Source organism: Homo sapiens, chromosome 5 (genome assembly GCF_000001405.40).
Source record: "Homo sapiens chromosome 5, GRCh38.p14 Primary Assembly".
Lineage (NCBI taxonomy): Eukaryota > Metazoa > Chordata > Mammalia > Primates > Hominidae > Homo > Homo sapiens.
In genome coordinates, this window is record NC_000005.10 from 70938452 (window position 1) to 70961507 (window position 23056).

Here is a 23056-nt window from a genome sequence, read left to right on the forward strand (position 1 = left end):
AAAGAAAAAATATTCTTTGGATCATAGGTTCTGAGGTCAGAACAGCATTCCCGTAGTCTAGATGAAGTCAAGTTTTATCTGATCTTAATTGAAATAAATATAGCTGGCCTTGAACAAATCTACTCATGGTATGTGGATAGGAATTAAATTGTAGGGGCATTCACTTGATGGCATTCATTCTTAGAACATTTACCTATGTCTAGCTTTTGGAGTAAAGTCACATAACCTCTAACCAGGTAAGTTTCCTGTGGCTTTATTTAGGATTTTAAATACTCATTTTCAGTGTAATTTTGTTATGTGTGGATTAAGATGACTCTTGGTACTAACATACATTTTCTGATTAAACCTATCTGAACATGAGTTGTTTTTATTTCTTACCCTTTCCAGAGCGATGATTCTGACATTTGGGATGATACAGCACTGATAAAAGCATATGATAAAGCTGTGGCTTCATTTAAGGTATGAAATGCTTGCTTAGTCGTTTTCTTATTTTCTCGTTATTCATTTGGAAAGGAATTGATAACATACGATAAAGTGTTAAAGTACATGTTATTCAGTTTTCATTTTGAAGATTAGATGGTAGTATGAGTTAGTTAAATCAGGTGATATCCTCCTTTAGAAGTTGATAGCCTATATATGTCATCCTTTGTGGAGGCAATTTAAATAAAATTTAAAACATTTATTCCTGGCTGGGTATGGTGGCTCACTCCTGTAATCCCAGCACTTTGAGAGGCTGAGGCGGGTGGATCACCTGAGGTCAGGAGTTTGAGACCAGCCTGGCCAACATGGTGAAACCCCGTCTTTACTAAAAATACAAAAATTAGCCAAGCATGGTGGCACGTGCCTGTAATCCCAGCTGCTTGGGACACTGAGGCAGGAGAATTGCTTGAACCTGGGGGGCAGAGGTTGCAATGATTGCACCACTGCACTCCAGCCTGGGCGATAGAGTGAGACTCCATCTCAGAAAACGAACAAACAATGTATTCCTTTTAGTATTTTTACATTGTATCAAACTATGGAAGTCCTCTAATTGAGATTAATAAGAAAAAGACAATCTGAATTATAATTTTAAACATTTAACAAGCATGTAGTAAAATAATGATGAAGATAAATAGCATTAGTACAGCAATTAATATTTGTAGCATGCTGACAGTGCTCTGTGTGCGTTTCATATATTAAATTACTCTAATCATCCCAAATCCTGTAAGTTGGGTATCAATTCAAGTGTTCCTATTGGGTAGGAATATACAGTTCTTTTAGGAAATGTAGTATGGTTCTGTGTCTCAAACAGGACACTTACACAGTTGGCCAACATCATCACCTTCTCCATTCTCTGAGATGTTTAGTCTTACTGAGCACTAAATATGGGTCATCAATAGTCCAGACTACCTTGAGCAAACAATAGTCCAGACTACCTTGAGCAAACAGAGCATATACTCATACAGTGTATAAAGAGCACCAAGCATACAGATTTCATGTCTTTCTCATAGTTACTCTTGTAACATGAGCTAAAGATCAGACCTCTATGTCACCTTTGTAACTGATTTCTAGATTTTTTTTTTTTTTTGAGATGGGGTCTTGCCCTGTCACCCAGGCTGGAGTGTAGTGGCGTGATCATGCCTCATTGGAGCCTTCAACTCATGAGCTCAAACAATCCTCCTACCTCAGCTTCCTGAGTAGTTGGGACCACAGGTGTGTGCCACCACACCCAGCTCATTTTTGTATTCTTTGTAGAGATGCAGTCTCACCCTGTTGCCCACGCTGGCCTGGAACTCCTGAGCTCAAAAGATCCCTCCGCCTTGACCTTCCAAAGTGCTGGGATTACAAGCATGAACCACTGCACCCGGCCTAGATTTTTAAATGTGCTTTCCAGTATACACTGAAACTAGAAGTCGACTAAAGAATTACCAAGAGAATTCTATAAAATAGAGATTGAAATGGGGCTCGATGTGGGATGGGTTGGTGATATTGCAGGGAGAAGTAATCTGAGTAAAGGAGGAAAAGAACTGATTTGGGAAAACGATAGTTTTAGTAGTGAGTTTGAGTATGAATTAAGTTGAGATTGAATTTGAATTAAGTTGAGGTTGAATATGAATTAAGTTGAGGTTGAGTTTGAGGTATGAATTAAGATGTGAAATTGATCATTGGAAATGTTAGATTGAGAAAAGTCACAGCTGGATTAATAGCTTCAGAAGTGTGTTTGCAGACAGTTGCAACTAAAGTAATAAGAATAGATGGCCTTGGCCGGGCGCGGTGGCTCACGCCTGTAATCCCAGTACTTTGGGAGGCTGAGGCGAGCAAATCACGAGGTCAGGAGTTCAAGACCAGCCTGGCCCACATGGTGAAACCCCGTCTTTATTAAAAATACAAAAATTAGCTGTGCACAGTGGTGCACGCCTGTAATCCCAGCTACTCGGGAGGCTGAGACAGGAGAATCGCTTGAACCTGGGAGGTGGAGGTTGCAGTGAGCTGAGATCAGTGTGACTGCACTCCAGCCCGGTGACAGAGTGAGACTCTGTGTAAAAAAATAAAATAAATAAAATAATGGCCGTAAGCAAGTAAAGAAGGATGGCCAGCTCTTATTGGGAATGCCTAAATCTAAGGCTTGATCAGAAGTAATGAAACCGTTGGGGCCCTACATTGCTATGACATCCAAAGGGCCATGAATATCAGGAAGAAAGATAATTAACAGGGTCTAATGTTACAGAGAGGTTGAGAGCAAGGAGATTTGATTAAAAGGGTCTTTAGAGCTGATGTCAGGTGTATGATGCCTTTAAGAGCAGTTTTTATAGTGCAGGGGGTGGTCAAAAGAGAAAATAGGTGCTTTCTGAGGTGACGGAGCCTTGAGACTAGCTTATAGTAGTAACTGGGTTATGTCGTGACTTTTATTCTGTGCACCACCCTGTAACATGTACATTTTTATTCCTATTTTCGTAGCATGCTCTAAAGAATGGTGACATTTGTGAAACTTCGGGTAAACCAAAAACCACACCTAAAAGAAAACCTGCTAAGAAGAATAAAAGCCAAAAGAAGAATACTGCAGCTTCCTTACAACAGGTTATTTTAAAATGTTGAGATTTAACTTCAAAGGATGTCTCATTAGTCCTTATTTAATAGTGTAAAATGTCTTTAACTTAAGTGATTAGTACAGTGTTTCTATTGACATATACTTATACAACTTCAAAAACAACTATTAAATTTTCTGTTATTTAGGAACATGCATATTAGTCATGAAAGTATAAAGAATTAGATGGGAATGATAAATGCTAAAATCAGGACATGTGTTCCATTTGTGAATGGAAGGCAGGGAGAAGGTGCCGTTTGGAAGGAGTACCCAAGAGCCGTAAGCTGAATTGGCAGTGTTTTACATCTTAAGCTGAGAGATAGATTTTTTTTTCCCCTTTTTCTTTAAAAACTCTAAAACTGTTAATTCCAAGGAACCCAGAAGTCTAGGTAGATTATTTCTGCTAGTTAAAAGCAGTAGTCCTGAAAGCTGAATATTTTGGTGTCTTTTGAGCCAACTTTAGTTTCATCATTACCAAGGGGGAAGAGAGCTAACAGTTGATGAGCACTTGCTCTAGGCCAGTCCAGAGTGCTGGGCACCATACGCATTTTATCTCCCTCCCGCTATTCACAACAAATATGGGAGGTAGTTTATATTATAGCCATCTAATAAGATGGGGAAACTAAGACTCAAAGAGATTCAGAAACTTGTCCATGATTATAAATGTAAGAGAGTTGGAATTCAGATTTATGTATTTAGACCCCAAGCCTTTCTCATTACATCATTTTGCCTTCCAAATCTCTACCCTCTATCCTTCACCTCCCCACTGATCAAAACGAGATGATAGTTTGCCCTCTTCAAAAGAAATGTGTGCATGTATATATCTTTGATTTCTTTTGTAGTGGAAAGTTGGGGACAAATGTTCTGCCATTTGGTCAGAAGACGGTTGCATTTACCCAGCTACCATTGCTTCAATTGATTTTAAGAGAGAAACCTGTGTTGTGGTTTACACTGGATATGGAAATAGAGAGGAGCAAAATCTGTCCGATCTACTTTCCCCAATCTGTGAAGTAGCTAATAATATAGAACAAAATGCTCAAGAGGTAAGGATACAAAAAAAAAAAAATTCAATTTCTGGAAGCAGAGACTAGATGAGAAACTGTTAAACAGTATACACAGTTGTCAGTTTGATCCACCGAGGCATTAATTTTTTCTTAATCACACCCTTATAACAAAAACCTGCATATTTTTTCTTTTTAAAGAATGAAAATGAAAGCCAAGTTTCAACAGATGAAAGTGAGAACTCCAGGTCTCCTGGAAATAAATCAGATAACATCAAGCCCAAATCTGCTCCATGGAACTCTTTTCTCCCTCCACCACCCCCCATGCCAGGGCCAAGACTGGGACCAGGAAAGGTAAACCTTCTATGAAAGTTTTCCAGAAAATAGTTAATGTCGGGACATTTAACCTCTCTGTTAACTAATTTGTAGCTCTCCCATGAAACTTTTGTAGCTTAAATACACAAGAATTTTTTGAAAAGGAAATAAGATAATGATGCAAAATAGTTAATTTTTTAAAAAAATGTTAGACACTGCAGTGGATGCAACAAAATACTTTATATGAAAGATTTATCCAGTTAACTTTTGTGGAGTATTAGGTATTAGACTAATAATTAGCACACTTACTTAAGTTAGAAAGTATAATAATGCGCCGGACGCGGTAGCTCACGCCTGTAATCCCAGCACTTTGGGAGGCCAAGGTGGGCGGATCACAAGGTCAGGAGATCGAGACCATCCTGGCTAACACGGTGAAACCCCATCTCTACTGAAAATACAAAAAAATTTGCCGGGCGTGATGGCGGGCACCTGTAGTCCCAGCTACTCGGGAGGCTGAGGCAGGAGGATGGTGTGAACCCCGGAGGCAGAGCTTGCAGTGAGTCAAGATCGTGCCACTGCACTCCAACCTGGGCGACAGAATGAGACTCCATCTCAAACAAAAAAACAAAACAAAACAAAAAAAAGTGTAATAATAATTTATCATTAGCTGGATGATATGCTGTTGTTTCCCATGTCACCTGTATAAGATATGTAAAATAAGAACACATTATTTACATCTAATATAGATAAAATCCTGAGGCGCTCTCAGATTGTTTTGTAGAGTTCAAATGTAAATATTGTTTTCATTTATGGTCCTTTTGGTTATAAGTAACAGAAATCAACTCTAAAAAGATTTTTATTATAGGTTAGATTATGTCATGGAACCTTAAGGCTTGTCCCTTTCTAGTTCTTTTGTGTAAAGCGGTGATTTCTTCCATGGAGGGAATGGTATTTAGGCAATTTTTTTTTTTTTTCGAGATGGAGTCTTGCTCTGTCGCTCAGGCTGGAGTGCAGTGGCACCATTTCAGCTCACTGCAACTTCCACCTCCTGGGTTCAAGTGATTCTCCTGCTTCAGCCTCCCAAGTAGCTGAGATTACAGGCACCCGCCACCACACCCGGCTTATTTTGTATTTTTAGTAGAGATGGGGTTTCACCATGTTGGCCAGGCTGGTCTTGAACTCCTGACCTCAAGTGATCTCCCCACCTTGGCCTTCCAAAGTGCTAGGATTACAGGCGCCTAGCCTAGGCAGTCATTTTCAAAAAACAAGCATGACTCACCAAAAGTTTTAAGATTTTCTGTGATAATGTTCTTATTGAGGCTTACATTATATTACAGTTTCTTGAATCTAAAATGATGTACCCTCTTAGGATATATACATCATGCTTCATTGGTCTCAGGGGGCTGATTTTTATAAGGAGAGATTTGCTAGTTTTCACAATATGTCCTCTAAGTTGGCATGTATAGCTAAACAGGCTTTCATAAAAATATACAATTTAGTTAATGAAATTTGGGATATAGTCTTTTATGATTGAAATAATTTTGCTAAATAGACTGTCTCTGATTTATTAGGTAATCACCACTCTTATTTTGTTTTACTTCCTTAATGTCTACATAGAAAGGAAATGAGAAAAATCCAGAGGTTGTCATTTGACTTATGAGTCTGTTTGACTTCAGGATTTGGTACATGAAATTTCACTTAATCTTTTTGATATGTATAAAACAAATATTCTGGGTAATTATTTTTATCCTTTTGGTTTTGAGTCCTTTTTATTCCTATCATATTGAAATTGGTAAGTTAATTTTCCTTTGAAATATTCCTTATAGCCAGGTCTAAAATTCAATGGCCCACCACCGCCACCGCCACCACCACCACCCCACTTACTATCATGCTGGCTGCCTCCATTTCCTTCTGGACCACCAGTAAGTAAAAAAGAGTATAGGTTAGATTTTGCTTTCACATACAATTTGATAATTAGCAGAATAGAGGATTGTAAAATGTCATTGTAGAACATCCCTTGGGCCAGATTCTAATGGGTAGAAATTTGAACTAAACCTCTGGGTTTTGTTTGTTTTTAATGCCTTTCTGTTACCCAGATGCAGTGCTCTTGTAGTCCCAAGTCTAAGCTCTAGGTTGCCTTCTTTCCTGGCAGAAGTTGGTGTCTATGCCATAAGGAGGTAGTTCCTGTTAGAAGGGATTTAATTATACCTTATATAAGGAATTAGTGTTTGCCCTTCTAGGTATAGTTGGATGTTAGCTTCTGATGTAAACTGGATTTCTTTTTCTTTCTCTCTCTTTTTTTTTTTTTGTTTTGGAGGCAGAGTTTTGCCCTTGTACCCCAGGCTGGAGTGCAGTGGTGTGATCTCAGCTCACAGCAACCTCCGCCTCCTGGGTTCAAGCAATTCTGCCTCGGCCTCCCAAGTAGCTGGGATTACAGGCGACTGCCACCACACCCGGCTAATTTTTGTTTTATTAGTAGAGATGGGGTTTCACCATGTTGGCCAGACTGATCTTGAACTCCTGACCTCAGGTGATCCACCCGCCTTGGCCTCCCAAAGCGCTGGGATTACAGGCGTGAGCTGCCGCACCCAGCTGTAAACTGGATTTCTAATGGTAGATTTTTAGGTATTAACAATAGATAAAAAGATACTTTTTGGCATACTGTGTATTGGGATGGGGTTAGAACAGGTGTTCTACCCAAGACATTTACTTAAAATCGCCCTCGAAATGCTATGTGAGCTGTGTGTGTGTGTGTGTGTGTGTGTGTGTATTAAGGAAAAGCATGAAAGTATTTATGCTTGATTTTTTTTTTTTACTCATAGCTTCATAGTGGAACAGATACATAGTCTAAATCAAAATGTTTAAACTTTTTATGTCACTTGCTGTCTTTTCGTCCTCGTTAAATTTAATTTTGTTGGTCTTTTGTTGTTATTGGTTGGTTTTCTCCAAATGCTAGCTATGTTAAGAAATTTAAGGCCAGGTACAGTGGCTCATGCCTGTAATCCCGGCATTTTAGAAGGCTGAGGCAGGAGGATCACTTGAGCTCAGGAGTTTGAGACCAGTCTGGGCAACATAGCAAGACCTCGTCTTTGTTTAGGGGAAAAAAAAGAAATTTAAGTAGGAGATTATATAAGCAAAAATACAATTAATTTCCAGCATTCACTATATAATATAAATCTCCAGACTTTACTTTTTTGTTTACTGGATATAAACAATATCTTTTTCTGTCTCCAGATAATTCCCCCACCACCTCCCATATGTCCAGATTCTCTTGATGATGCTGATGCTTTGGGAAGTATGTTAATTTCATGGTACATGAGTGGCTATCATACTGGCTATTATATGGTAAGTAATCACTCAGCATCTTTTCCTGACAATTTTTTTGTAGTTATGTGACTTTGTTTTGTAAATTTATAAAATACTACTTGCTTCTCTCTTTATATTACTAAAAAATAAAAATAAAAAAATACAACTGTCTGAGGCTTAAATTACTCTTGCATTGTCCCTAAGTATAATTTTAGTTAATTTTAAAAAGCTTTCATGCTATTGTTAGATTATTTTGATTATACACTTTTGAATTGAAATTATACTTTTTCTAAATAATGTTTTAATCTCTGATTTGAAATTGATTGTAGGGAATGGAAAAGATGGGATAATTTTTCATAAATGAAAAATGAAATTCTTTTTTTTTTTTTTTTTTTTTTGAGACGGAGTCTTGCTCTGTTGCCCAGGCTGGAGTGCAATGGCGTGATCTTGGCTCACAGCAAGCTCTGCCTTCTGGATTCACGCCATTCTCCTGCCTCAGCCTCAGAGGTAGCTGGGACTACAGGTGCCTGCCACCACGCCTGTCTAATTTTTTGTATTTTTTTGTAAAGACAGGGTTTCACTGTGTTAGCCAGGATGGTCTCAATCTCCTGACCCCGTGATCCACCCGCCTCGGCCTTCCAAGAGAAATGAAATTTTTTTAATGCACAAAGATCTGGGGTAATGTGTACCACATTGAACCTTGGGGAGTATGGCTTCAAACTTGTCACTTTATACGTTAGTCTCCTACGGACATGTTCTATTGTATTTTAGTCAGAACATTTAAAATTATTTTATTTTATTTTATTTTTTTTTTTTTTTTGAGACGGAGTCTCGCTCTGTCACCCAGGCTGGAGTACAGTGGCGCAGTCTCGGCTCACTGCAAGCTCCGCCTCCCGGGTTCACGCCATTCTCCTGCCTCAGCCTCTCCGAGTAGCTGGGACTACAGGCGCCCGCCACCACGCCCGGCTAATTTTTTTTTATTTTTAGTAGAGACGGGGTTTCACCGTGGTCTCAATCTCCTGACCTCGTGATCCACCCGCCTCGGCCTCCCAAAGTGCTGGGATTACAAGCGTGAGCCACCGCGCCCGGCCTAAAATTATTTTTAAAAGTAAGCTCTTGTGCCCTGCTAAAATTATGATGTGATATTGTAGGCACTTGTATTTTTAGTAAATTAATATAGAAGAAACAACTGACTTAAAGGTGTATGTTTTTAAATGTATCATCTGTGTGTGCCCCCATTAATATTCTTATTTAAAAGTTAAGGCCAGACATGGTGGCTTACAACTGTAATCCCAACAGTTTGTGAGGCCGAGGCAGGCAGATCACTTGAGGTCAGGAGTTTGAGACCAGCCTGGCCAACATGATGAAACCTTGTCTCTACTAAAAATACCAAAAAAAATTTAGCCAGGCATGGTGGCACATGCCTGTAATCCGAGCTACTTGGGAGGCTGTGGCAGGAAAATTGCTTTAATCTGGGAGGCAGAGGTTGCAGTGAGTTGAGATTGTGCCACTGCACTCCACCCTTGGTGACAGAGTGAGATTCCATCTCAAAAAAAGAAAAAGGCCTGGCACGGTGGCTCACACCTATAATCCCAGTACTTTGGGAGGTAGAGGCAGGTGGATCACTTGAGGTTAGGAGTTCAGGACCAGCCTGGCCAACATGGTGACTACTCCATTTCTACTAAATACACAAAACTTAGCCCAGTGGCGGGCAGTTGTAATCCCAGCTACTTGAGAGGTTGAGGCAGGAGAATCACTTGAACCTGGGAGGCAGAGGTTGCAGTGAGCCGAGATCACACCGCTGCACTCTAGCCTGGCCAACAGAGTGAGAATTTGCGGAGGGAAAAAAAAGTCACGCTTCAGTTGTTGTAGTATAACCTTGGTATATTGTATGTATCATGAATTCCTCATTTTAATGACCAAAAAGTAATAAATCAACAGCTTGTAATTTGTTTTGAGATCAGTTATCTGACTGTAACACTGTAGGCTTTTGTGTTTTTTAAATTATGAAATATTTGAAAAAAATACATAATGTATATATAAAGTATTGGTATAATTTATGTTCTAAATAACTTTCTTGAGAAATAATTCACATGGTGTGCAGTTTACCTTTGAAAGTATACAAGTTGGCTGGGCACAATGGCTCACGCCTGTAATCCCAGCACTTTGGGAGGCCAAGGCAGGTGGATCACGAGGTCAGGAGATCGAGACCATCCTGGCTAACATGGTGAAACCCCGTCTCTACTAAAAGTACAAAAACAAATTAGCCGGGCATGTTGGCGGGCACCTTTTGTCCCAGCTGCTCGGGAGGCTGAGGCAGGAGAGTGGCGTGAACCCAGGAGGTGGAGCTTGCAGTGAGCCGAGATTGTGCCAGTGCACTCCAGCCTGGGCGACAGAGCGAGACTCTGTCTCAAAAAATAAAATAAAAAAGAAAGTATACAAGTCAGTGGTTTTGGTTTTCAGTTATGCAACCATCACTACAATTTAAGAACATTTTCATCACCCCAAAAAGAAACCCTGTTACCTTCATTTTCCCCAGCCCTAGGCAGTCAGTACACTTTCTGTCTCTATGAATTTGTCTATTTTAGATATTATATATAAACGGAATTATACGATATGTGGTCTTTTGTGTCTGGCTTCTTTCACTTAGCATGCTATTTTCAAGATTCATCCATGCTGTAGAATGCACCAGTACTGCATTCCTTCTTATTGCTGAATATTCTGTTGTTTGGTTATATCACATTTTATCCATTCATCAGTTCATGGACATTTAGGTTGTTTTTATTTTTGGGCTATAATGAATAATGTTGCTATGAACATTCGTTTGTGTTCTTTTTGTTTTTTTGGTTTTTTGGGTTTTTTTTGTTTTGTTTTTGTTTTTGAGACAGTCTTGCTCTGTCTCCTAAGCTGGAGTGCAGTGGCATGATCTTGGCTTACTGCAAGCTCTGCCTCCCGGGTTCACACCATTCTCCTGCCTCAGCCCGACAAGTAGCTGGGACTACAGGCGTGTGCCACCATGCACGGCTAATTTTTTGTATTTTTAGTAGAGATGGGGTTTCACCGTGTTAGCCAGGATGGTCTCGATCTCCTGACCTCGTGATCTGCCTGCCTAGGCCTCCCAAAGTGCTGGGATTACAGGCGTGAGCCACTGCACCTGGCCTTAAGTGTTTTTAATACGTCATTGCCTTAAGCTAACAATTCTTAACCTTTGTTCTACTGAAGCCACGTGGTTGAGATAGGCTCTGAGTCTAGCTTTTAACCTCTATCTTTTTGTCTTAGAAATCTAAGCAGAATGCAAATGACTAAGAATAATGTTGTTGAAATAACATAAAATAGGTTATAACTTTGATACTCATTAGTAACAAATCTTTCAATACATCTTACGGTCTGTTAGGTGTAGATTAGTAATGAAGTGGGAAGCCACTGCAAGCTAGTATACATGTAGGGAAAGATAGAAAGCATTGAAGCCAGAAGAGAGACAGAGGACATTTGGGCTAGATCTGACAAGAAAAACAAATGTTTTAGTATTAATTTTTGACTTTAAATTTTTTTTTTATTTAGTGAATACTGGTGTTTAATGGTCTCATTTTAATAAGTATGACACAGGTAGTTTAAGGTCATATATTTTATTTGATGAAAATAAGGTATAGGCCGGGCACGGTGGCTCACACCTGTAATCCCAGCACTTTGGGAGGCCGAGGCAGGCGGATCACCTGAGGTCGGGAGTTAGAGACTAGCCTCAACATGGAGAAACCCCGTCTCTACTAAAAAAAATACAAAATTAGGCGGGCGTGGTGGTGCATGCCTGTAATCCCAGCTACTCAGGAGGCTGAGGCAGGAGAATTGCTTGAACCTGGGAGGTGGAGGTTGCGGTGAGCCGAGATCACCTCATTGCACTCCAGCCTGGGCAATAAGAGCAAAACTCCATCTCAAAAAAAAAAAAATAAGGTATAAGCGGGCTCAGGAACATCATTGGACATACTGAAAGAAGAAAAATCAGCTGGGCGCAGTGGCTCACGCCGGTAATCCCAACACTTTGGGAGGCCAAGGCGGGTGAATCACCTGAAGTCGGGAGTTCCAGATCAGCCTGACCAACATGGAGAAACCCTGTCTCTACTAAAAATACAAAACTAGCCGGGCATGGTGGCGCATGCCTGTAATCCCAGCTACTTGGGAGGCTGAGGCAGGAGAGTTGCTTGAACTGAGAAGGCGGAGGTTGCGGTGAGCCAAGATTGCACCATTGCACTCCAGCCTGGGCAACAAGAGCGAAACTCCGTCTCAAAAAAAAAAGGAAGAAAAATATTTTTTTAAATTAATTAGTTTATTTATTTTTTAAGATGGAGTTTTGCCCTGTCGCCCAGGCTGGGGTGCAATGGTGCAATCTCGGCTCACTGCAACCTCCGCCTCCTGGGTTCAAGTGATTCTCCTGCCTCAGCTTCCCGAGTAGCTGTGATTACAGCCATATGCCACCACGCCCAGCCAGTTTTGTGTTTTGTTTTGTTTTTTGTTTTTTTTTTTTGAGAGGGTGTCTTGCTCTGTCCCCCAAGCTGGAGTGCAGCGGCGCGATCTTGGCTCACTGCAAGCTCTGCCTCCCAGGTTCACACCATTCTCTTGCCTCAGCCTCCCGAGTAGCTGGGACTACAGGTGCCCGCCACCACACCCGGCTAATTTTTTTGTGTTTTTAGTAGAGATGGGGTTTCACTGTGTTAGCCAGGATGGTCTCGATCTCCTGACCTTTTGATCCACCCGCCTCAGCCTCCCCAAGTGCTGGGATTATAGGCGTGAGCCACTGTGCCCGGCCTAGTCTTGTATTTTTAGTAGAGTCGGGGTTTCTCCATGTTGGTCAGGCTGTTCTCCAAATCCGACCTCAGGTGATCCGCCCGCCTTGGCCTCCAAAAGTGCAAGGCATTACAGGCATGAGCCACTGTGACCGGCAATGTTTTTAAATTTTTTAAATTTAAATTTTATTTTTTAGAGACCAGGTCTCACTCTATTGCTCAGGCTGGAGTGCAAGGGCACATTCACAGCTCACTGCAGCCTTGACCTCCAGGGCTCAAGCAGTCCTCTCACCTCAGTTTCCCGAGTAGCTGGGACTACAGTGATAATGCCACTGCACCTGGCTAATTTTTATTTTTATTTATTTATTTTTTTTTGAGACAGAGTCTTGCTCTGTCACCCAGGCTGGAGTGCAGTGGTGTAAATCTCAGCTCACTGCAGCCTCCGCCTCCTGGGTTCAAGTGATTCTCCTGCCTCAGCCTCCCAAGTAGCTGGGATTAGAGGTCCCCACCACCATGCCTGGCTAATTTTTTGTACTTTCAGTAGAAATGGGGTTTTGCCATGTTGGCCAGGCTGTTCTCGAACTCCTGAGCTCAGGTGATCCAACTGTCTCGGCCTCCCAAAGTGCTGGGATTACAGGCGTGAGCCACTGTGCCTAGCCTGAGCCACCACGCCGGCCTAATTTTTAAATTTTTTGTAGAGACAGGGTCTCATTATGTTGCCCAGGGTGGTGTCAAGCTCCAGGTCTCAAGTGATCCCCCTACCTCCGCCTCCCAAAGTTGTGGGATTGTAGGCATGAGCCACTGCAAGAAAACCTTAACTGCAGCCTAATAATTGTTTTCTTTGGGATAACTTTTAAAGTACATTAAAAGACTATCAACTTAATTTCTGATCATATTTTGTTGAATAAAATAAGTAAAATGTCTTGTGAAACAAAATGCTTTTTAACATCCATATAAAGCTATCTATATATAGCTATCTATGTCTATATAGCTATTTTTTTTAACTTCCTTTATTTTCCTTACAGGGTTTCAGACAAAATCAAAAAGAAGGAAGGTGCTCACATTCCTTAAATTAAGGAGTAAGTCTGCCAGCATTATGAAAGTGAATCTTACTTTTGTAAAACTTTATGGTTTGTGGAAAACAAATGTTTTTGAACATTTAAAAAGTTCAGATGTTAAAAAGTTGAAAGGTTAATGTAAAACAATCAATATTAAAGAATTTTGATGCCAAAACTATTAGATAAAAGGTTAATCTACATCCCTACTAGAATTCTCATACTTAACTGGTTGGTTATGTGGAAGAAACATACTTTCACAATAAAGAGCTTTAGGATATGATGCCATTTTATATCACTAGTAGGCAGACCAGCAGACTTTTTTTTATTGTGATATGGGATAACCTAGGCATACTGCACTGTACACTCTGACATATGAAGTGCTCTAGTCAAGTTTAACTGGTGTCCACAGAGGACATGGTTTAACTGGAATTCGTCAAGCCTCTGGTTCTAATTTCTCATTTGCAGGAAATGCTGGCATAGAGCAGCACTAAATGACACCACTAAAGAAACGATCAGACAGATCTGGAATGTGAAGCGTTATAGAAGATAACTGGCCTCATTTCTTCAAAATATCAAGTGTTGGGAAAGAAAAAAGGAAGTGGAATGGGTAACTCTTCTTGATTAAAAGTTATGTAATAACCAAATGCAATGTGAAATATTTTACTGGACTCTATTTTGAAAAACCATCTGTAAAAGACTGGGGTGGGGGTGGGAGGCCAGCACGGTGGTGAGGCAGTTGAGAAAATTTGAATGTGGATTAGATTTTGAATGATATTGGATAATTATTGGTAATTTTATGAGCTGTGAGAAGGGTGTTGTAGTTTATAAAAGACTGTCTTAATTTGCATACTTAAGCATTTAGGAATGAAGTGTTAGAGTGTCTTAAAATGTTTCAAATGGTTTAACAAAATGTATGTGAGGCGTATGTGGCAAAATGTTACAGAATCTAACTGGTGGACATGGCTGTTCATTGTACTGTTTTTTTCTATCTTCTATATGTTTAAAAGTATATAATAAAAATATTTAATTTTTTTTTAAATTAGCTGTATCTGTGATTGTATTTCTTTTTTGCATATTATTTTGCCCTTTGGCCCATATTTTGATATGGATGCCACCATAGCATTTTGTGTATGTGCATGTGTATTCCCACTTAATGTCACATTTTTCATGTCTTTACATATTCTTATTTTTGTTTGTTTTTGAGACAGAGTCTCGCTCTGCTGCCCACGCTGGAGTGCAGTGGTGCAATCTCAGCTCACTGCAACCTGTGCTATCCGGGTTCAAGCGGTTCTCGTGCCTCAGCCACGTGAGTAGTTGGGATTACAGGCATGTGGCACCATGCCCCACTAAGTTTTGTATTTTTAGTAGAGATGGAGTTTCACCATGTTGGCCAGGCTGGTCTCAAACTCCTGCCCTCAAGTGATTCGACCACCCTGGCCTCCCAAAGTGCTGGGATTACAGCCGTGAGCCACCGCACACGGCCTCTCTATTTATTTCTATACATAGCTTTTCACATTATATTATGTTTATATATTGTTTATATCTGTATTTCCTCTTTCATTAGAGAAAAGGTAGTACATCTTATTCTTCATGGTGTCTACAATATCTGGCAGTTTTTGGAAGTCAAGCGTGAGCTTAGAGCATAGACTGGTGGGATTGTCAAAGAAGAGGGCAACTGGAAGAGAACTGTCAGTTATTTTTGGATCAGTCTTTAATTCATCATGACGGGTTAGGCATTAGTTGTATTTCTTGCTAATTTTGAAGAAGACTTATTAACAAATCCTACATTAGGTAAATGGTTTTGAAAGTTGAGTTAATCATAATGGTGTTTGACCTAGGACTATTTTTAGGCCCTATTTATCTTAATATCGAATAATGAAGCAGCTTCCCCCTTAGATATAGACAGAAAACATCAAAGCCACCACACTACCTGGCTGGATTTATCCTAGTAATAAAATCAAAACTGAGCTAGTTCTCTGGCTTTCATTGTAATAATTGTCCTTGTGGTTGTAAGGAATCTAGATGAAAATTACATGGTCTGTTCTACAGCCACAGCTGTACCTACATTCAGAAGACAGACAAAAGTTGCTGTGTTTGAAGAGATCCTTCATTAAGGGATCAGACAGAGATTACTTTGAGACATATTCTAAGTTTAACTTTTCTGCAGGGTTGCCATTAACAGAAATAAACTACAGAGTTAATTTCTTTTTGTTTTTGATACAGTCTAACTCTCACCCAAGCTGGAGTGCAGTGGCGCAATTTCAGCTCACTGCAACCTCTGCCTCCCAGGTTCAAGCAATTCTCCTGCCTCAGCCTCCCGAGCAGCTGGGACTACAGGCATGTGCCACTATGCCTGGCTAATTTTTGTATTTTTAGTAGTAGAGACGTGGTTTCGCCACGTTGGCCAGGCTGGTCTGGAACTCCTGACCCCAGGTAATCCACCTGCCTCGGCCTCCCAAAGTGCTGGGATTACAAGCTTGAGCCACTACGCCTGACCCAGAGTTAACTTTTTAAAAAAGTTTTTATGAACTTAAGTCTTGTGATGTTTGAAATAATGGATTCAATTTAGACATCAAATTCCAGAAGTTACTAAGAGCAGCTGGGCGCGGCAGCTCACACCTGTAATCCCAGCACTTTGGGAGGCCGAGGCGGGTGGATCACCTGAGATCAGGAGTTCCAGACCAGCCTGGCCAACATAGTAAAACCCTGTCTCTACTAAAAATACAAAAATTAGCCCGGCATGGTGGCACGCGCCTGTAGTCCCAGCTACTTGGGAGGCTGAGGCAGGAGAATTGCTTGAACCCGGGAGGTGGAGGTTGTGGTGAGCCGAGATTGTGCCACTGTACTCAAGCCTGGGCTAAAAAGCGAGACTCCGTCTCAAAAAAAAAAAAAAAAAAAAAAAAAAAAAAAAAAAAAAAAAAAAAAAAAACAAAACACGTTACTAAGAGCAACTCTGGGCCAGGCACGGTGGCTTACACCTGTAATCCCAGCATTTTGGGAGGACGAGACAGGCGGATCACTTGAGCCCAGGAGTTCAAGACCAGCATAAGCAACAACGCAAAACCCCTGACTCTACAAAAAATGAAAGAATTAGCAAGGCATGGTGGTGCATGCCTGTAGTCCCAGCTACTGGAGAGGCTGAGGCAAAAGGATCACTTGAGTACAGGAGGTTGAGGCTGTATAATGAGCCATGTTCACACCATTGCACTTCAGCCTGGGCAACAGACTGAGACCCTGTCTCAAAAAAAAAAACCAAACCAAAGCAACAAACAAAAAACAAGAGCAACTCTGCTTCTGTACACTTTTTTTTTTTTTTGGTAGTGACATGATCTATGTTGCCCAAGCTGGTCTCGAGTTCCTGGGTTCAAGCCATTCTCCCACCTCGGGCTCCCAAAGTGCTAGGATTACAGGCATGAATCACCATGCCCAGCCCTTCTGTACACTTTTCACAGTGTACCCTTTTGTGTTTTTTAAAATGTTTGTGTATACATTTATTGTGAATTTTTAAAAAACATGTAATTAAGGCCAGGCATGGTGGCTCATACCTGTAATCCTAGCACTTTGAGAGGCTGAGGTGGGTGGATCACCTGAGGTCGGTAGTTCGAGACCAGCCTGGCCCAACATGGTGAAACCCCATCTCTACTAAAAATACAAAAAAAAAATTAGCTCGGCATGGTGGTGGGCGCCTGTAATCCCAGCTACTGGAGAGGCTGAAGCATGAGAATCACTTGAACCCAGGAGGCGGAGGTTGCAGTGAGCCAAGATCATGCCACTACACTCCAGCCTGGGTGACTCAGTGACTGTCTCAAAAAGAAAAAAAGTAATTAAGTTCTGTCATGATATATCATCATTACCCTTTTTGAACTTTTAAAATTTTTTATCTTTAGAGGTAATTCATATAATGTTCTTCAATAGATAAGTGCTTTTCTGTCAATATATCTTGGAGAACACACCATATCAGTATTTAAAACTCTCATTCTTCCTATTTCTCCACATCCTCTCCAGCACCCGTTGTTTCCTGACTTTTTAATGATTGCCATTCTAACTGGTGTGAGATGGTATCTTATTGTGGTTTTGATTTGCATTTCTCTGATGGCCAGTGATGGTGAGCATTTTTTCATGTGTTTTTTAGCTGCATAAATGTCTTCTTTTGAGAAGTGTCTGTTCATGTCCTTCGCCCACTTTTTGATGGGGTTGTCTGTTTTTTTCTTGTAAATTTGTTTGAGTTCGTTGTAGATTCTGGATATTAGCCCTTTGTCAGATGAGTAGATTGCAAAAATTTTCTCCCATTTTGTAGGTTGCCTGTTCACTCTGATGGTAGTTTCTTTTGCTGTGCAGAAGCTCTTTAGTTTAATTAGATCCCAGTTTTGGCTTTTGTTGCCGTTGCTTTTGGTGTTTTAGACATGAAGTCCTTGCCCATGCCTATGTCCTGAATGGTAATGCCTAGGTTTTCTTCTAGGGTTTTTATGGTTTTAGGTCTAACATTTAAGTCTTTAATCCATCTTGAATTAATTTTTGTATAAGGTGTAAGGAAGGGATCCAGTTTCAGCTTTCTACATATGGCTAGCCAGTTTCCCAGCACCATTTATTAAATAGGGAATCCTTTCCCCATTGCTTGTTTTTCTCAGGTTTGTCAAAGATCAGATAGTTGTAGATATGCGGCGTTATTTCTGAGAGCTCTGTTCTGTTCCATTGGTCTATATCTCTGTTTTGGTACCAGTACCATGCTGTTTTGGTCACTGTAGCCTTGTAGTATAGTTTGAAGTCAGGTAGCGTGATGCCTCCAGCTTTGTTCTTTTGGCTTAGGATTGACTTGGCGATGCGGGCTTTTTTTTGGTTCCATATGAACTTTAAAGTAGTTTTTTCCAATTCTGTGAAGAAAGTCATTGGTAGCTTGATGGGGATGGCATTGAATCTGTAAATTACCTTGGGCAGTATGGCCATTTTCACGATATTGATTCTTCCTACCCATGAGCATGGAATGTTCTTCCATTTGTTTGTATCCTCTTTTATTTCATTGAGCAGTGGTTTGTAGTTCTCCTTGAAGAGGTCCTTCACATCCCTTGTAAGTTGGATTCCTAGGTATTTTATTCTCTTTGAAGCAATTGTGAATGGGAGTTCACTCATGATTTGGCTCTCTGTTTGTCTGTTATTGCTGTATAAGAATGCTTGTGATTTTTGTACATTGATTTTGTATCCTGAGACTTTGCTGAAGTTGCTTATCAGCTTAAGGAGATTTTGGGCTGAGACAATGGGGTTTTCTAGATATACAATCATGTAATCTGCAAACAGGGACAATTTGGCTTCCTCTTTTCCTAATTGAATACCCGTTATTTCTTTCTCCTGCCTAATTGCCCTGGCCAGAACTTCCAACACTATGTTGAATAGGAGTGGTGAGAGAGGGCATCCCTGTCTTGTGCGTGTTTTCAAAGGGAATGCTTCCAGTTTTTGCCCATTCAGTATGATATTGGCTGTGGGTTTGTCATAGATAGCTCTTATTATTTTGAGATACGTCCCATCAATACCTCATTTATTGAGAGTTTTTAGCATGAAGGATTGTTGAATTTTGTCAAAGGCCTTTTCTGCATCTATTGAGATAATCATGTGGTTTTTGTCTTTGGTTCTGTTTATATGCTGGATTACATTTATTGATTTGCGTATGTTGAACCAGCCTTGCATCCCAGGGATGAAGCCCACTTGATCATGCTGGATAAGCTTTTTGATGTGCTGCTGGATTCGGTTTGCCAGTATTTTATTGATGATTTTTGCATCAATGTTCATCAAGGATATTAGTCTAAAATTCTCTTTTTTGGTTGTGTCTCTGCCTGGCTTTGGTATCAGGATGATGCTGGCCTCATAAAATGAGTTAGGGAGGATTCCCTCTTTTTCTATTGATTGGAATAATTTCAGAAGGAATGGTACCAGTTCCTCCTTGTACCTCTGGTAGAATTCGGCTGTGAATCCATCTGGTCCTGGACTCTTTTTGGTTGGTAAGCTATTGATTATTGCCACAATTTCAGAGCCTGTTATTGGTCCATTTAGAGATTCAACTTCTTCCTGGTTTAGTCTTGGGAGGGTGTATGTGTCGAGGAATTTATCCATTTCTTCTAGATTTTCTAGTTTATTTGCGTAGAAGTGTTTATAGTATTCTCTGATGGTAGTTTGTATTTCTGTGGGATCGGTGGTGATATCCCCTTTATCATTTTTTATTGCGTCTATTTGATTCTTCTCTCTTTTCTTCTTTATTAGTCTTGCTAGCGGTCTATCAATTTTGTTGATCCTTTCCAAAAACCAGCTCCTGGATTAATTTTTTGAAGGGTTTTTTGTGTCTCTATTTCCTTCAGCTCTGCTCTGATTTTAGTTATTTCTTGCCTTCTGCTAGCTTTTGAATGTGTTTGCTCTTGCTTTTCTAGTTCTTTTAATTGTGATGTTAGGGTGTCAATTTTGGATCTTTCCTGCTTTCTCTTGTGGGCATTTAGTGCTATAAATTTCCCTCTACACACTGCTTTGAATGTGTCCCAGAAATTCTGGTATGTTGTGTCTTTGTTCTCGTTGGTTTCAAAGAACATCTTTATTTCTGCCTTCATTTCGTTATGTACCCAGTAGTCATTCAGGAGCAGGTTGTTCAGTTTCCATGTAGTTGAGTGGTTTTGAGTGAGTTTCTTATTCCTGAGTTCTAGTTTGATTGCACTGTGGTCTGAGAGACAGTTTGTTATAATTTCTGTTCTTTTACGTTTGCTGAGGAGAGCTTTACTTCCAACTATGTGGTCAATTTTGGAATAGGTGTGGTGTGGTGCTGAAAAAAATGTATATTCTGTTGATGTGGGGTGGAGAGTTCTGTAAACTGGTTCAACCATTGTGGAAGTCAGTGTGGTGATTCCTCAGGGATCTAGAACTAGAAATACCATTTGACCCAGCCATCCCATTACTGGGTATATACCCAAAGGACTATAAATCATGCTGCTATGAAGACACATGCACACGTATGTTTATTGCGGCACTATTCACAATAGCAAAGACTTGGAACGAACCCAAATGTCCAACAATGATAGACTGGATTAAGAAAATATGGCACATATACACCATGGAATACTGTGCAACCATAAGAAATGATGAGTTCATGTCCTTTGTAGGGACATGGATGAAATTGGAAATCATCATTCTCAGTAAACTATCGCAAGGACAAAAAACCAAACACCGCATGTTCTCACTCATAGGTGGGAATTGAACAATGAGAACACATGGACACAGGAAGGGGAACATCACACTCTGGGGACTGTTGTGGGGTGGGGGGAATGGGGAGGGATAGCATTAGGAGATATATCTAATGCTAAATGACGAGTTAATGGGTGCAGCACACCAGCATGGCACATGTATACATATGTAACTAACCTGCACATTGTGCACATGTACCCTAAAACTTAAAGTATAATAATAAAATAAAATAAGAAAAATGCAAAAATTAAAAATTTAAAAAAAAGCTCTCATTCTTTTAAGCACTTACAGGATATTCTTACAGATGTGTACCACGCTTAATGAATTGAGCTCTTGTGGATGAGAGTTTAATTTGTTTCTAATCATTTGTTATTTAATAGTACAGTCAGCATCTTTAGGATTAAGTATCTAGAATTAGAACTACTGTGTTGAAGAGGCTATTGCATTTAAATTGTTTTTTTTTTTTTTTTGATACGGAGTCTTGCTCTGTTGCCCAGGCTGGAGTGCAATGGCGTGATCTCAGCTCACCGCAACCTCCGCCTCCCAGGTTCAAGCAGTGCTCCTGCCTCAGCCTCCTGAGTAGCTAGGATTACAGGCACACGCCACCATGCCCGGCTAATTTTTGTATTTTTTTAGTAGAGACGGGGTTTCACCATGTTGGCCAGGCTGATCTTGAACTCCTGACCTTGTGATCTGCTCGCCTTGGCCTCCCAAAGTGCTGGGATTACAGGCATGAGCCACCGTGCCCGACCTACATTTAAATTGTAAATAAAAGTTTGCTAAATTGTTTTCAGTAGAGGTTATATTAATCTATATTTATACCAACATGGAGAGTTTGTTTCCTGCAAAATAGCCAATAATTTATCAAACCTTTGAATCTTTGTCAATTGAATAGTTAAAAATGATTATCTCATATTTGTACATTTTTATTTTATTGTGAAGTTCAGCACCTTTTCATGTGTTTAAGAACTTTTAATTTTCTGTTGTTTATATCGTCTTCCCATTACCATTTTAACTATTTGTTTTTATTTTCAGAGTTTTTGCTTATAAAATTTTATTTACAGTCAATTCTCTTTATTTGTAGAATCTGTATTTGTAAAGGCACCTACTTGCTAAAATTTATTTGTAACCTAACATCAATACTCATGGCAGTTTCATGGTTTTTCATGGACATACACAGAGGTGAAAAATTTGAGAACCTTATCCAGATATTCCCAGCTGGGGTTGAACAGTGCTCAGTTTTTTGTGTAGCTTTCTTATTATAAACAAGTGTCCTTTTCGAAAGCAGTTTATATAGTTCTACATTTTTCACATTTTTGTGCCTTCTGTTTGTGATTTTACTGTTTAAAGTGATTCCCAAGCATTGTGCTGAAGTGCTATATAGTGGTATTCCAAGGTGCATGCGGGCTGTGAGGTGCCTTAGAGAATACATGTGTTAGATAACCTTTGTTTAGTCATGAGTTATAGTGCTGTTGAGTGGGAGTTAGATGATGATGAGTCATCACTATTTATTATTATATTTTTTGAGATGGAGTCTCACTCTGTCACCCAGGCTGGAGTGCAATGGCATAATCTCGGCTCACTGCAACCTCCTCCTCCCGGGTTCAAACGATTCTCCTGCCTCAGTCTTCTCAGTAGCTGGGATTATAGGCACCCGCCACTGCACCCAGCATAATTTTTGTATTTTTAGTAGAGGTGGGGTTTTACCATGTTGGGTAGGCCAGTCTTGAACTCCTGACCTCAAGTGATCCACCCACCTTGGCATCCCAGAGTGCTGGGATTACAGATATGAGCCACCATGCCAGGTCTATATTTATTAAATAATGTGTCTTTAAACAGAAACAGATATAAAACAAGCTTACGTATTTATAAGTTGGTGAAAATGTGACCAAAGGCTTACAAGAACCTAACCCTGTATTTCTGTTAGGAGCAATGGCTCAGTATTCACTAATTTGCGTGTTTGTGGCAACTTCATAGAACATAACTACCTCAAGTAATGAGAATTGACTGCATTCTTTTTCAAGTCATTTTATAAACAATTTACAGAAGAATAAAGGGATGGTGAAAATTAACTTTGTTAGCAATTTTAATGAGAATCCAAATATAGGAGACCCACATTTTTTCCCATATTTTCCCAGTTTTGAATGTTTATGTATACCTAAAAGGCATTACATCCTTTGAAAGCAGCTGTCATTATGCATGAATCTGGAACATACCTACCTTTAAATACGGATTTTGGATTTCAAATGCATCTCTACTATGTTCTACCTTATTATTTGTATTCTTCATGAACTCACTTTGTCAAAATGCAATACTTTT

At 40.0% G+C, this 23056-nt stretch overlaps 1 protein-coding gene across 9 annotated transcripts in view; it reads left to right on the forward strand.

Annotated features, from left to right (window-relative positions):
- SMN1 (survival of motor neuron 1, telomeric) overlaps nt 1-23056 on the forward strand; it is a 41435-nt gene that overhangs the window by 13511 nt on the left and 4868 nt on the right. Inside the window, exons 2-9 of one of the 9 annotated variants that reach the window (NM_000344.4) lie at nt 388-459; nt 2938-3057; nt 3907-4107; nt 4267-4419; nt 6207-6302; nt 7615-7725; nt 13490-13543; nt 13988-14564. In NM_000344.4, coding sequence (NP_000335.1) covers nt 388-459; nt 2938-3057; nt 3907-4107; nt 4267-4419; nt 6207-6302; nt 7615-7725; nt 13490-13540 — 804 coding nt within the window. In that variant the 3' untranslated portion in view covers nt 13541-13543; nt 13988-14564. Of the gene's footprint in view, nt 1-387; nt 460-2937; nt 3058-3906; nt 4108-4266; nt 4420-6206; nt 6303-7614; nt 7726-8255; nt 8474-13489; nt 13698-13987; nt 14565-23056 lie in introns of those variants that run through there. The other 8 variants (XM_011543597.2, NM_001297715.1, NM_022874.2 and 5 more) reach the window with 8 other exon arrangements.